The following is a 13,041-nucleotide window of genomic DNA, read 5'->3' as shown; positions in this document are numbered from 1 at the left end:
CTAAATCTTGACTTTGAATACAAAGGCCAGGACTGTTCCTATTTCCCAGCACAATAAACACCACAGCCATAGTTCTTATCGCTAGCTCTCATCTACACCTGATAATTATCTCACCTGTCTCCAATTGCTGACTACTAAGCGCTAACCTGATTAATCACCACAGCACATATTTATTGAGGACCAAACTTTAATATTTCAAGGGCACCCCAAATGAGTTACTGGTGGGGTTACATAACCTTTCATTCATGCCACCAAACCAAGATTCATGAATTCTGAAAGTTAAAGTTGATTACCTCTTTGGATACATAAAAAATATATATATTAAAGCATGTCACACAGTGCAAAAAAAAAAAAAAAAAAAAAAAGAGGCATCCAGCAGATGAAAAATAGGCTCTTGGAAAAGCCCAAAGCAGCAGGCTGATTGTCCTAACAAGAGGACAGAGAAACTCTTTCTGTAGGAAATAAAGCTGCCTCAGCCAAAGAGAGATCCAGACATGGGTTTTGATGGATTCTTATTACAACCAAAGACAAGCTCAAAGAAAGTGGAAGTTCAGATTTCCCATGGGTGCAGTTGGATCTTGCATCCAAGAGAATGCTTGGTTGACTTCTCATATGCAGGCTGAGCAAGAAGCAAGCAGCAAGACTTAGCCAGTGATTCTGATTCCAGGCTGACATCTCTGTGCTTGAGCTCTGAGCTCCTCGGGCAGGACAGCCTGGAATTGCTCCTGCACCAGCATTTCCACAGTCTGCTCCTTTGTGTGGATATCAGGTCTCAGCCACCACCGTCCAGCAAGGTCCTAGAGATGCCTGAGGACATCCCTGGGGCCAGCTGCATCCTCATAGCAGAACTTCCTGAACCTCTGCCGGGAGGCTTTCTAGCATGGTCTTAAAGTCTTCAACAGAGTCTTCACTGAGGGTCTCTGGTGGGAGCCCAGAAGGCTCTCGTGGAATCTGGACCTGGAAAGCAGGTAGTAGGACAACTTCTGGCTCCTCGGCCCATCATTTCATTGGGTAGTGATCTCATTTGATCATTCTGGACTTCTGTATTTCTTTGTGTCTCTGGGTACACTTCAGTCTCAATTCTGGAACTCTAAGAAAAAACGTTCCAGACTTCTAGGCACAAACAGAAAAGTAAGAATCAGCAAAAACAGACCATAAAAGCTGTTAAACCACTCTGATCTCACGGATCTGGTCCAGACCCAGGTTCCATCAGCCTTCCAATCTTAACAGGGTTTCTTAATAAAGGTACTAGAAACTCATTTTTGTCTTCTTCCTGGTAGATCAATTAACACAATTGAGGAAACATGACAGTAGTTTACCAAAATAAGAAATGTAGGTTCTCAAAGCTGATTGAAGAATACTGGCCTTGCTAGAGAATCGTGCATTCATTTTGTCTCTCACTATGAAGTGTTTTACATTATGTTGAAACAAGAATTGCATATGCACATGATTTGCTTGGGAGAGGGCTTTAAAATCATGGGTGTTTGCTTCCTCCAACCATTTTTGTTTCTTTTTTGGAGACAGCGTCTTGCCGTCATTCAGGCTGGAGTGCAATGGCATGATCTCGGCTCACCGCAACCTCTGCCTCCCAGGTTCAAGCAATTCTCCTGCCTCAGCCTCCTGAGTGGCTGGGATTACAGACACGTGCCACCACCTCCAGCTAAATTTTGTATTTTTCATAGAGATAGGCTTTCACCAGGTTGGTCAGGCTGGTCTCGAACTCCTGACCTCGTAATCTGCCCCCATCAGTGTCCCAAAGTGCTGGGATTACAGGCATGAGCCACCACACCCAGCCCCTCCAACTATTTTTATATAACATTTGTTATGTCTACAAAGCAATTTATGAAGAGGAGCTAAAAGAGGAGAATAAGGTCAGTTCATTTATATCTAATCTACTGACTTTCCACCTCCCTCCATCTCTTTCATCATGATTAAAGAATAGCAAACATTAACAAGTACTTCAAAGGAGCAGTGCACTATGATTGCACCTGTGAATAGCCACTGCACTCCAGCCTGAGCAACACAGCGAGAGCTCTTAAAAAAAAGAAAAAGAAAAAGAAAGCCAGGTGAAGTAGCTCACGCCTGTAATCCCAGCACTTTGGGAGGCCAAGGTGGGTGGATCAACTGAGGTCAGGAGTTCAAGACCAGCCTGGCCAATATGGTGAAACCCCATCTCTACTAAAAATACAAAAATTATGGCCAGGCATGGTGGCTCACGCCTGTAATCCCAGCACTTTGGGAGGCCAAGGCGGGCGGATCAACTGAGGTCAGGCGTTCGAGACCAGCCTGACCAACATGGAGAAACCCCGTCTCTACTAAAATTACAAAAATTAGCTGAGCATGGTGGCGCGTGCCTGTAATCCCAGCTACTCGGGAGGCTGAGGTAGGAGAATCGCTTGAACCCAGGAGGCAGAGGTTGCTGTGAGCTGAGATCGTGCCACTGCACTCCAGCCTGGACAACAAGAGCAAAACTCCATCTCAAAAAAAAAAAAAAAAAAGGTGGCTCACTTGAGCCCAGGAATTCGAGACCAGCCTGGGTAACATGGCAAAACCCTGTCTCTACAAAAAAAAAATTATCTGGGTGTGGTGGCACATGGCTGTAGTCCCAGCTACTGGGAGGTAGAGGCTGCAGTGAGCTGTGATCACGCCACTGCACTCCAGCCTGGGCAACAGAGTCCTTGTCTCCAAAAAAAAAAAAAAAAGAACCCAGGTTAAGATCAAGAATGAAGCACCTCTGATCAGTGTATGGGACTTGTCAAAATCCTAATAGAGTACACTTCCAACTCTTTGGATATTTGAGAGCTCCAGGATTATCAAACCAGCTATAGCCGTGGGGGGCGGCGGGGCGGGAGGCAAATTAAATACCTGTAAAATGCCAGAAAAAAAGCCTTTGCTTCATTTGGGCTAGGGCCCCAGTTCAAAAGAGGAGTTATTTACAGGAAAACACATCCTATGTTAATTAACTTTAAAACAAGAGAGTTCAAATAACAGAAATGACTAAATTAATTCTCACATTAGGATACAGCCCCATGATGCAGTCACTTTTCAAGGATCATCATTTTCTTTTTTTTTTTTTTTTTTTTGAGACGGAGTCTTGCTCTGTTGCCCAGGCACAATCTCGGCTCACTGCAACCTCTGCCTCCCAGGTTCAAGCAATCCTCCTGCCTCAGCCTCCTGAGTAGCTGGGACTACGGCACGTGCCACCAGGCCCAGCTAATTTTTTTTTGTATTTTTAGTAGAAATGAGGTTTCACCATGTTAGCCAGGATGGTCTCGATCTCCTGACCTCATGATCCACCGCCCTTGCCTCGGCCTCCCAAAGTGCTGGGATTACAGGTGTGAGCCACCGTGCCCGGCCCATTGTTTTCTTTAATACTCTCTTCCCTCAAAGAACTAATCCCTTCCAGACATATAATACATAGCAGGAGAGCTGACATTTAAAATCCTTCCCACCTCAGAGAATCTCTCAAATCTGTTTCCTGAGCAACAATTGACAGAAGCCAACAATCACTAACGCTGACTAGCTGCCGTGCACCCAGCACCTAGTCATCCCTTCTCTAAAGGTTCCCTGACCCATTTCTTAGGAGACTTTAATTGATTCTAGACCCAGCACCTTGGATATTCTTGGGAGTACACCAATTCTTCTCACATTATCTTGGTTTTTGCTCAGTTAATAAGGTGTGCTCATCCCCCAAAGTAAGCTGTTACTAACCTAGGGTGGTGAATAGGGAAAAGCAGAATCACTTAGGGTGAGTTGGACTAAAATATTTCGTCCAAGAAAGGTTGGGTGAAACACTGTGGGAAAGCAAAATCTTGGGAACAACCTAAGTGACCATCAACAGGGAAATGACTGAAGTACCGTCAACCACTCAGTGGTGCCGCCACGTAAAAAATGAAGCAGGCTTATGAGTACTGGTAAGAAAGCTGTCCATATCACAACATGACTAAGGTCCCGATCGATGTGTAGTATGACCCCCGATCTGAGGAAATTAAAAATACATAAATACAGATACAAATAAATAAAACCTGATATATCCAAATAATAGATAGAAAGTTATCAAAGAAATTAATTGTATTTACTTCTGAAGGGCAGAAACAGTAGAAGGGGGAAACACTTTTCATTTTACATCTTTCTGCATTGTTTTCTAACTACACACATGTATTACTTTTATAACAACTCAAGAGGAAGAAAACTTCTCAGGCTTTCCCCTCCTGCCCAAAAACCTTTCTGAGTGAAAACCCCTAACCCACTTAGGAAAACACCCTTTTATTACTTCTTCTAGCTCCCAGCACCCAACGTCTTTACAACCCAGGTTTCTAGGAACAGACTGTCAGTGGGCCTTTTTCTTTCCTTTTTTTTTTTTTTGAGACAAGTCTCACTCTGTCGCTCAGGCTGGAGTGCAGTAGTGTGATCTCGGTTCACTGCAACCTTTCCTCCTTCTGGGTTCAAGCAATTCTCTGCCTCAGCCTCCCGAGTAACTGGGATTACAGGTGCCCACCACCATACCTGGCTAATTTTTATGTTTTTAGTAGAGATGGGGTTTCACCATGTTGACCAGGCTGGTCTCGAACTCCTGACTTCGGGTGATCCACCCGCTTCGGCCTCCCAAAGTGCTGGGATTACAGATGTGAGCCACCACGCCCAGCAGTCAGTGGGCCAATTCTTAAGGCTGGCTCTCAAAGATGAACCAGCACCACAATTTACCCGGCTTATAAATCCTGTCAGCTTCAGAAGACGACTTACCAAACACAAATTTATCCTCACCAGTTAATAACTCCTTTTCTTTGCTCAAAAACCCAGTGAGAAAAAATAACTCCAGGCCAGGCACAGTGGCTCATGCCTATACTTCTAGCACTTTGGAAGGCCGAGGCGGGTGGATCACCTGAGATCAGGAGTTCAAGACCAGGCTGGCCAACATGGTGAAACCGTCTCTATTAAAAATGCAAAACATTAGCCAGGCGTGGTGATGTGCGACTGTAATCCCAGTTACTCGAGTGGCTGAGGCAGGAGAATCGCTTGAACCCATGTGGCAGAGAAGGTTGCAGTGAGGCGACAACGCGGCACTGCAACTCCGGCCTGGGCGACAGAGCGAGACTCCGTCTCAAAAAAAAAAAAAAGAAAAAATAACTCCAGTGCACTGCGCCCTTACTTCCTATCTAACATTGTGCCGAACGTTATACACAGATCCTCCTCCGTATGATCCTTAGTTCAGGATCATAAACTCTTGATAAATTACTGCCCCAGGAACCTCCAGTGACATCAACCGCTGCTACCATTTGTGGAATTCTGCCGGCCAGACACCCCACACTGCATTCCCTCACAACTGATCCTCCCGATAGCCCATGGGGTAGGCACTGTTATTTCCATTCACAGATAAGCAAAGTGAGGCTCGGAGGGCGGGGACTTGCCCAAAGCCACAAGGATGAAAGGTAGTGCGATGACTCAACCGATAAAAATAATCCCGGTTGTGGTGGGGGGGAGCTGAGCCCGACTCCTCCCACTATGCTGCCGCGGCTCCGAAGGCCTAGCCCGAGTGCGGAAATGGGCTTCTAGGGTCCCAGGACGAGGTCCACCTCCAGAGCTGCAGTGAGGTCCAAGTCAGCCCGAGGAGCCCGCAGGTCCCACATTTCAGTCATTTCCCTACCCCAAAGGCAGGGACTCCCCGCTCCTGGGGCAGGCAGCCACTGTGGCCGCGAGCAAGCGTACTCGGGTTAGGAAGGAGAAGGAAGGGGACAGGGGGAACGTTCACCTACGCAGCTGCCACCTCGGAGGACGGGGGAGCGGGGGACGAGGAAAGATCAGGATAAGACCCTAACTCCCACAAATGACTCCAGGAAAGGGAGACCACCACTCCCCGAGCTTTGGAGCGCCGCGCGGGAACCGGAAGTCATGCCCCGCCCGGAAGTTAAGAGGAGGGGCATAGGTTGGAAGGGGTGGGCCGGGTCTCTCTAGCCTCCGCGGTACTACGCAGCTTCATGGTTTTAACTCTTGGTGGTCTTTTGACCGTCCTCAGTCCTTACCGTGCGGAGTTTTGGATACATTCTTAGCAGCTTTTTCGCTCCGGAGAAGTTCTTTATCTTTCTGAGCCGCAGTTTGCCCAACTGCAAAATGGAAAGAGATGAAGCAGGAATTAAGATACTCTAGGAGCTCGCCCACAGCTGATTCAGGGCCCCATTCTGAGGTTACACCCTTAAGCCTTTGCACCACTCAAAGGAAGGAAACCAAGAGAGAGGGGTGGCTGGCTGCTGTTTGGAGACAGTGGTCCTTGTATTGGCGCCCCGCGGAATCACTCCAGATGAGTCAGTGGATACAGTCTATAGGTCCCGCCTCATTGTACGCAAACAGCAGTGGGCATATGGCCGTGGGGGGTTGATACAGCCTGTCCGGGGTGGGACTCTGTGTGTATGGGAGGCTAAATCTCAGCAGGACTTTTCCAGTTGCTACCAGACTACGCACTGTCGCCTGATGGTTAAGAACTGAAGCTTTAGCCGTGCGCGGTGGCTCACGCCTGTAATCCCAGCACTTTAGGAGGCAGAGGCGTGTGGATCACCTGAGGTCACGAGTTCGAGACCAGCTTGACCAACAAGGTGAAACTCAGTCTTTACTAAAAATACAAAAATTAGCCGGGCGTGCTGGCAGGCGCCTATAGTCCCAGCTGCTCGGGAGACTGAGACAGGAGAATTGCTTGAACCCGGGAGGCGGAGGTTGCAGTGAGCCGAGATTGCGCCATTGCACTCCAGCCCGGACGAGGGAGCAAGACTCCATCTCAAAGATGAAGCTTTGAAGTCATACTGATCTGGTTTGCGTCTGATCACACAGGTTCAATGACACAGCCGGCTAGAGGAAGCAGAGATGCTAACCACTGCAGCCCCGATCTTAACCCTGAAGGGGAGGGATTGAGCTGTTAGAGAGAGGTACTCAGTTGACTTCTCCCTCTCTCTTTCCAGCTGGCATATCCGAATGGGCTGAGCTACCGGATTAAGAGGGACACCCCAAAGCCCCCATTGCTGGGTTATTGCTCCAGAGCCAATGTTCTTGGGGAAAGGAAGATATGCCCTTTGTCAACATTGCCACTGCTGGTCTGTAAACTCCTAGACGGCCAGCTGGTGGTTCACAAACCAGGACTCCTTGCTCTGGCCCTACCCCTACCTACCAGAATGACCGTGAACCCTTCCCCACTCACTCCTACAACCAGGTTTCCATCTCCTCTCTCAGCTTAGGTTTCCCTAACTGTAAAATAAAAGGGTTGGACTAGGTTAAGGACTTCCTGCTATTTCTCTCTCCCACACTCTAAGGTTCCTTAGGAATGCTTCAGAAAACAGCAGGGGTTGGGGCAAGGATGCCGCTTGAGTCCCAGAGCAACTCCAATTTCATAGGCACATAAATTTATGTGAAAGTATATACGTTTCGGCTTGTGTAAGATTATTTTATCATCCCAGGTAAAATTCAGCCTTTGTGCTTCATCTTTCCCCACCCTCCTGCTCACTCAGTTTGCTCCAAGAACACTGACCTTCTGGCTATTTTGCAAATCTGACAATCTGACAAGCTCATCTTCACTTCTTTTTTTTTTTTTTTTTTTTTTTTGAGACGGAGTTTCGCTCTTGTTGTCTAAGCTGGAGTGCAATGGTGTGATCTCGACTCACTGCAACCTCTGCCTCCCGGATTCAAGCGATTCTCCTGCCTCAGCCTCCCGAGTAACTGGGATTACAGGCACGAGCCACCACACCCGGCTAATTTTTTGTACTTTTAGTAGAGACGGGGTTTCGCCATATTGGCCAGGCTGGTCTCGAACTCCTGACCTCAGGTGATCCGCCCACCTCAGCCTCCCAAAGTGCTGGGATTACAGGTGTGAGCCACCACGCCCAGCCTTTTTTTGAGGCAGAGTCTCATTCTGTCACCCAGGCTGGAATGCAGTGGCATGATCTCAGCTCACTGCAACTTCCACCTCCTGGGTTGAAGTGATTCTCTTGCCTTAGCCTCCCAAGTAGTTCAGATTACAGACTTGCACCACCCTGTCCAGCTAATTTTTGTATTTTTAGTAGAGACAGGGTTTTGCCATGTTCCCCAGGCTGGTCTCGAACTCCTGACCTCAAGCGATCCACCCACCTCGGCTTCCCAAAGTGCTGGGATTACAGGCGTGAGCCATCGCACCCGGCCTCATCTTCACTTCTTTTGCTGATCTCTGCTTGCAGTGCTCTTTCCTGAGATCTGTTCACCCAGGTTCCAGTTCAACTGTAGCGTCTCCTTTTCTGCCCACCTCCTCTATCCCCCGACCCCGGGCACCCTTCCAATTCCTTTATAACCTGTTACTTTGTTTTTGTGATTACCTAGTTATTTTCTATCTCATCCACTAGAGGCAGTGTCCACAAAGCTAAGGACTTTGTCTGCCCTGTCACCACCATGACCCCAGTACTTAAAACTGAGCATAGGCCGGGCACGGTGGCTCACACCTGTAATCCCAGCACTTTGGCAGGCCGAGATGGGCGGATCACAAGGTCAGGAGATCGAGACCATCCTGGCTAACACGGTGAAACTTCATCTCTACCAAAAATACAAAAAAATTAGACGGGCGTGGTGGCGAGTGCCTGTAGTCCCAGCTACTCGGGAGGCTGAGACAGGAGAATGGCGTGAACCCGGGAGGCGGAGTTTGCAGTGAGCTGAGGTCACGCCACTGCACTCCAGCCTGGGCGACAGAGCAAGACTCTGTCTCAAAAAAAAAAAAAAAAACAAAAAAACAAAAACTGAGCATAGGAGCCAGGCGCAGTGGCTCACGCCTATAATCCCAGCACTTTGGGAGGCCGAGGCAGGCGGATCACCTGAGGTCAGGAGTTCGAGACCAGCCTGGCTAACATGGTGAAACCCCGTCTCTACTACAAATACAAAAATTAGCTAGGCATGGTGGCAGGCGCCTGTAATCCCAGCTACTCAGGAGGCTGAGGCAGGAGAATTGCTTGAACCTGGGAGGCGGAGGTTGCAGTGAGCTGAGATCACGCCATTGCACTCCAGCCTGGGCGACAAGAGTGAAACTCCATCTCAAAAAAAACGAACAACAACAACAAACTGAGCATAGGCTGGACAAACACTGAATGAATGGATCAATGAGTGAGTAAAGGAACAGAGCAGCTGGGCGTGGTGGCTCACACCTGTAATCCCAACACTTTTGGAGGCTGAAGCAGGAGGATCCCTTGAGCCCAGGAGTTTGAGACCAACCAAGGCAACATAGTGAGACCCATCTCTACAGAAATTTTTTAAAAATCAGCCTGGTGTGGTGGTGCACATCTGTGGTCCCAGCTACTTGGGAGGCTGAAGTGGGAGGATCACTTTAGCCCAGTAGATTGAGGCTGCAGTGAACTGTGATTGAGCCACTGCACTCCAGCCTGGGCGGATAGAACAAAACTCAGTCTCAAAAAAAAAAAAAAAAAAGGTCTGGGCATGGTGGCTTACGCCTGTAATCCCAGTACTTTGGAAGGCTGAGGCGGGTGGATCACCTGAGGTCAGGAGTTCAAGACCAGCCTAAGCAACATGGTGAAAACCCATCTCTACTAAGAATAGAAAATTAGCTGGGTGTGGTGGTGCATGCCTGTGACCCCAGCCACTTGGGAGGCTGAAGCAGAAGAATTGCTTGAACCGGGGAGGCAGAGATTGCAGTGAGCCAAGATTGTACCACTGCACTCCAGCCTGGGCAACAGAGTGAGACTCCATCTCAAAAGCAAAAAAAGAAAAGAGAAAGCCTGAATTTTATGACAAATCCAATCTGAAAAAGACCACTAGGGATGTAGCTGTAGTTTAACAAAATTAGGCTTATTAACTTGATGTAGCAAGAGAGACAACACACCAGAGAAACTGTGGAGGGTCTCACCAAACAAAAGAAGAAATGGGATTATCATAGGATTTGGAGGAGGTTGGAGTTTAGGTGAAATTGAAATGAAGCCGTGTTGATAGGTGCAAAGCAAAGCTGGCAATGTGTAAAGGGGTTAACATCTGGCGTGGGCTGAGAATCAGACTCAGAGTCTTGTTTCCTTGGACACCACAAAGGTAAGACAAATATAGACTATTGTGTCCAAAAACCCTTTATCTGAAGCTCTGCATCTGGGTAGATACAGGCTATGTCTCTGTATCAAACCTGGCTCTTCTGACCCACTAGAGAAGCGTGGGATGTTCTGCTCTCACTGATGTGATTTCAAACAGCAAAGTTTCTGACAGTCTCTGATTTTAGAGAATGAGATTCCTTTTTTTTTTTTTTTTTTTTTTTTTTTTAGGTGGAGTTTCACTCTTGTCGCCCAGGCTGGAGTGCAATGGTGCGATCTCGGCTTACTGCAACCTCCGTCTTCTGGGTTCAAGCAATTATCCTGCCTCAGCCTCCTGAGTAGCTGGGATTACAGGTGCCCGCCACCACACCCAGCAAATTTTTGTATTTTAGTAGAGATGAGGTTTCACCATGTTGGCCAGGCAGAGAACAAGATTTCTCAGCACTGTCTTTTTTTTTTTTTTTCTTTGAGACAGTCTCGCTCTTTGGCCCAGGCTGGAGTGCAGTGGCGTGATTTTGACTCACTGCAACCTCTACCTTCCTAGTTCAAGCAATTCTCCTGCCTCAGCCTCCAGAGTAGCAGGGATTACAGGCATCCACCACCACGCCCAGCTAATTCAGCCTCCCAAAGTGCTGGGATAGCACTACGTCTTTGATGTTAATTGACAAAAGAAAGTTTGACAGATTCACCTTTTTTTTTTTTTTTTTTTTTTTTGAGACGGAGTTTTGCTCTTGTTGCCCAGGCTGGAGTGCAATGGTGTGATCTCGGCTCACTGCAACCTCCACCTCCCAGGTTCAAGTGATTCTCCTGCGTCAGCCTCCCTAGTAGCTGGGATTACAGGCATTTGCCACCACGCCCAGCTAATTTTGTATTTTTAGTAGAGATGGGGTTTCTCTATGTTGGTCAGGCTGGTCTCAAACTCCCGACCTCAGGTGACCTGCCCACCTCGGCCTCCCAAAGTGCTGGGATTACAGGCATGAGCCACTGCGCCCGGCCTCACCTTTTTTTTTTTTTTTTTTTTTGACAGAGAGTCTTGCTCTGTGTCCCAGGCTGGAGTGCAGTGGCATGATCTTGGCTCACTGCAACCTCCACCTCTCAGGTTCAAGCAATTCTCCTGCCTCAACCTCCTGAGTAACTGAGACTACAGGTAAGTGCCACTACACCCAGCTAATTTTTAAATTTTTAGTAGAGACAGGGTTTCACCCTGTTGGCCAGGCTGGTCTTGAACTCCTGACCTCAAGTGATCCACTTGCCTCGGCCTCCCAAAGTGCTAGGATTACAGATGCAAGCCATTGCGCCCAGCCCAGATTCACATTTGATCTCAATCATCTGACCTATGTCCAGAATATATAAAGAATTCTACAAACCAGCCAGGCGGGGTGGCTCATGCCTGTAATCCCAGCACTTTGGGAGGCTGAGGAGGGCAGATCACAAGGTCAGGTATTCAAGACCAGCCTGGCCAACATGGTGAAACCCCGTCTCTACTAAAAATACAAAAATTAGCCAGGCGTGGTGGTGGGCCTGTAATCCCAGCTACTCAGGAAGCTGAGGCAGGAGAATCGCTTGAACCTGGGAGGTGGAGGTTGCAGTGAGCCAAGATTGCACCACTGCACTCCAGCCTGGGTGACAGAGTGAGACTCCGTCTCAAAAAAAAAAGGAATTGAAGTATTGACATTGTGCCTTCTTGAAAAATGCATTGCTGGCTTTTCATGATTTAGAAATCAAAAGCAAAAAATTATTGGCCTTGACATTCTAATCATTATTCAAAGAATTAAGTTATTGACTATATGGGTTTTAAAAGACTTGAATTGATAAGACTTGGAGATTTGAACAAAGGAAAATTGAATGCTGGCAGTTTTAGGCAAGATTCCCTGACTCTCTGCTGCCCATGTGTGGAGAGAACTGGGTCATCACAGCTCCCAGCCTCCCTCTGAGGATGGGTAGAGGTCCCTTGGGGGCCCGCTGGCCAGCCACATTATGAAATTACATATATCCCACTGCCCTTTACTCTGAAACTATTTTGGAGAATTATCCAAGGGTTCTTCCTGACTCATTGGGAGGAAGTGGACACTCAGCCTTTGCAACCCTACTGTGCCTTGGCAACGCCTGACAGTTACATGTCAGCAGGCACTGTCTGTCTGACTCAATAACAATGATAAATGTGTGTGGTTTCAGAACTTCCTCCCCACCTCCCACCACCCTCATGATGCGGAAGTCTCTGTTCAGCTTGACTCCATTTCTTCCCTGCTCTCACTCTGCCCTTGCCATACCAGTTCTCAGGCTTTGCAAGACCTGGAGCTTGCAGGCAGATCACCTGAGGTCAGGAGTTCAAGACTAGCCTGGAGAACATGGTGAAATCCCGTCTCTACTAAAAATACAAAAAAATTAGCCAGGCATAGTGGCGTGTGCTTGTAATCTCAGCTAGTTGGGAGGCTGAGGCAGGAGAATCACTTGAACCCAGGAGGTGGAGGTTGCAGTGAGCCGTGATTGCGCCACTGCACTCCAGCCTAGGAGACAGAGTGAGACTCCGTCTCAAAAAAAAAAGAGCTGGAGTGAGAGTAAGGATGGGAAGAGAGTTGTAGGGGACGGCTGAGATGCCAGAAGTGGTTTAGGAGAAAAATGGGGCCAGTTTGTAACGTGTAGGGGCAGTGGATGGGAAAAGAAAAAAAAAAGAGAATTTGAAGGAGTATTGTTGATACAATCACTTTGGAGAGCAATTTGGCAATTGGTAAAGTTGAAAATGAGCATGTCCTCCCAGTCAGCATGTCCATTTCTTGGAATATACCCTAGAGAAACTCTCCTACATGTGCACCAGGAGACATGTCCAAGGACATCCACTGAAGCACTGTTCACAATCACAAAAAATTAGCTCTGCTTTAAATATCCATGAGGAAGGAATAAAGAATAATAAAAATTTAGGCAATGGGATATGCTACAAACAGCAGCAACGAACTAGAGATAGACCTCAAAAACACAACATTAAGGCCAGGCGGGGTGGCTCATGCCTATAATC

General features: G+C 47.7%; 2 long non-coding RNA genes across 7 annotated transcripts, besides 7 other annotated features; one reads left to right on the top strand and one right to left on the bottom strand.

The window, feature by feature from the left end:
* LINC00339 (long intergenic non-protein coding RNA 339) lies at nt 169-6,202 on the bottom strand. 6 transcript variants are annotated; one of them, NR_109762.1, is made up of 3 exons: nt 5,750-5,889; nt 3,859-3,979; nt 169-1,113 (listed from the first exon to the last, which is right to left on the bottom strand). It is a non-coding gene; the product is annotated as a long intergenic non-protein coding RNA 339 (long non-coding RNA). The 6 variants fall into 6 exon arrangements; NR_109761.1 differs by having other exon boundaries at nt 5,754-5,889; NR_023918.2 differs by lacking the exons at nt 3,859-3,979; nt 5,750-5,889 and adding an exon at nt 6,021-6,202.
* Nucleotides 5,223-5,517: an enhancer, noted in NCBI's record as "tiled region #3950; K562 Activating DNase matched - State 1:Tss". NCBI's record gives its function as "activates a minimal TATA promoter and a strong SV40 promoter by Sharpr-MPRA in K562 cells {active_cell/tissue: K562}" and the evidence as "EXISTENCE:reporter gene assay evidence [ECO:0000049][PMID:27701403]".
* Nucleotides 5,223-5,917: a biological region, named in NCBI's record as "Sharpr-MPRA regulatory region 3950".
* Nucleotides 5,316-5,917: an enhancer, noted in NCBI's record as "H3K27ac hESC enhancer chr1:22351969-22352570 (GRCh37/hg19 assembly coordinates)". NCBI's record gives its function as "activates a minimal SCP1, AML or CMV promoter by ChIP-STARR-seq in primed H9 embryonic stem cells {active_cell/tissue: H9 hESC(primed)}" and the evidence as "EXISTENCE:reporter gene assay evidence [ECO:0000049][PMID:30033119]".
* LINC01635 (long intergenic non-protein coding RNA 1635) lies at nt 5,345-7,399 on the top strand. Its single transcript, NR_110692.1, has 3 exons — nt 5,345-5,429; nt 6,427-6,587; nt 6,948-7,399. It is a non-coding gene; the product is annotated as a long intergenic non-protein coding RNA 1635 (long non-coding RNA).
* Nucleotides 5,595-5,704: an enhancer, noted in NCBI's record as "active region_346". NCBI's record gives its function as "activates an Ori minimal core promoter by ATAC-STARR-seq in GM12878 lymphoblastoid cells {active_cell/tissue: GM12878}" and the evidence as "EXISTENCE:reporter gene assay evidence [ECO:0000049][PMID:35858748]".
* Nucleotides 8,354-8,473: a silencer, noted in NCBI's record as "silent region_393". NCBI's record gives its function as "represses an Ori minimal core promoter by ATAC-STARR-seq in GM12878 lymphoblastoid cells {active_cell/tissue: GM12878}" and the evidence as "EXISTENCE:reporter gene assay evidence [ECO:0000049][PMID:35858748]".
* Nucleotides 12,088-12,147: a silencer, noted in NCBI's record as "silent region_392". NCBI's record gives its function as "represses an Ori minimal core promoter by ATAC-STARR-seq in GM12878 lymphoblastoid cells {active_cell/tissue: GM12878}" and the evidence as "EXISTENCE:reporter gene assay evidence [ECO:0000049][PMID:35858748]".
* Nucleotides 12,348-12,437: an enhancer, noted in NCBI's record as "active region_345". NCBI's record gives its function as "activates an Ori minimal core promoter by ATAC-STARR-seq in GM12878 lymphoblastoid cells {active_cell/tissue: GM12878}" and the evidence as "EXISTENCE:reporter gene assay evidence [ECO:0000049][PMID:35858748]".

The sequence above is a fragment of the Homo sapiens genome, chromosome 1 (assembly GCF_000001405.40).
Source record: "Homo sapiens chromosome 1, GRCh38.p14 Primary Assembly".
Taxonomy (NCBI): Eukaryota; Metazoa; Chordata; class Mammalia; order Primates; family Hominidae; genus Homo; species Homo sapiens.
This window is presented reverse-complemented; position numbering and strand designations above follow the sequence as displayed.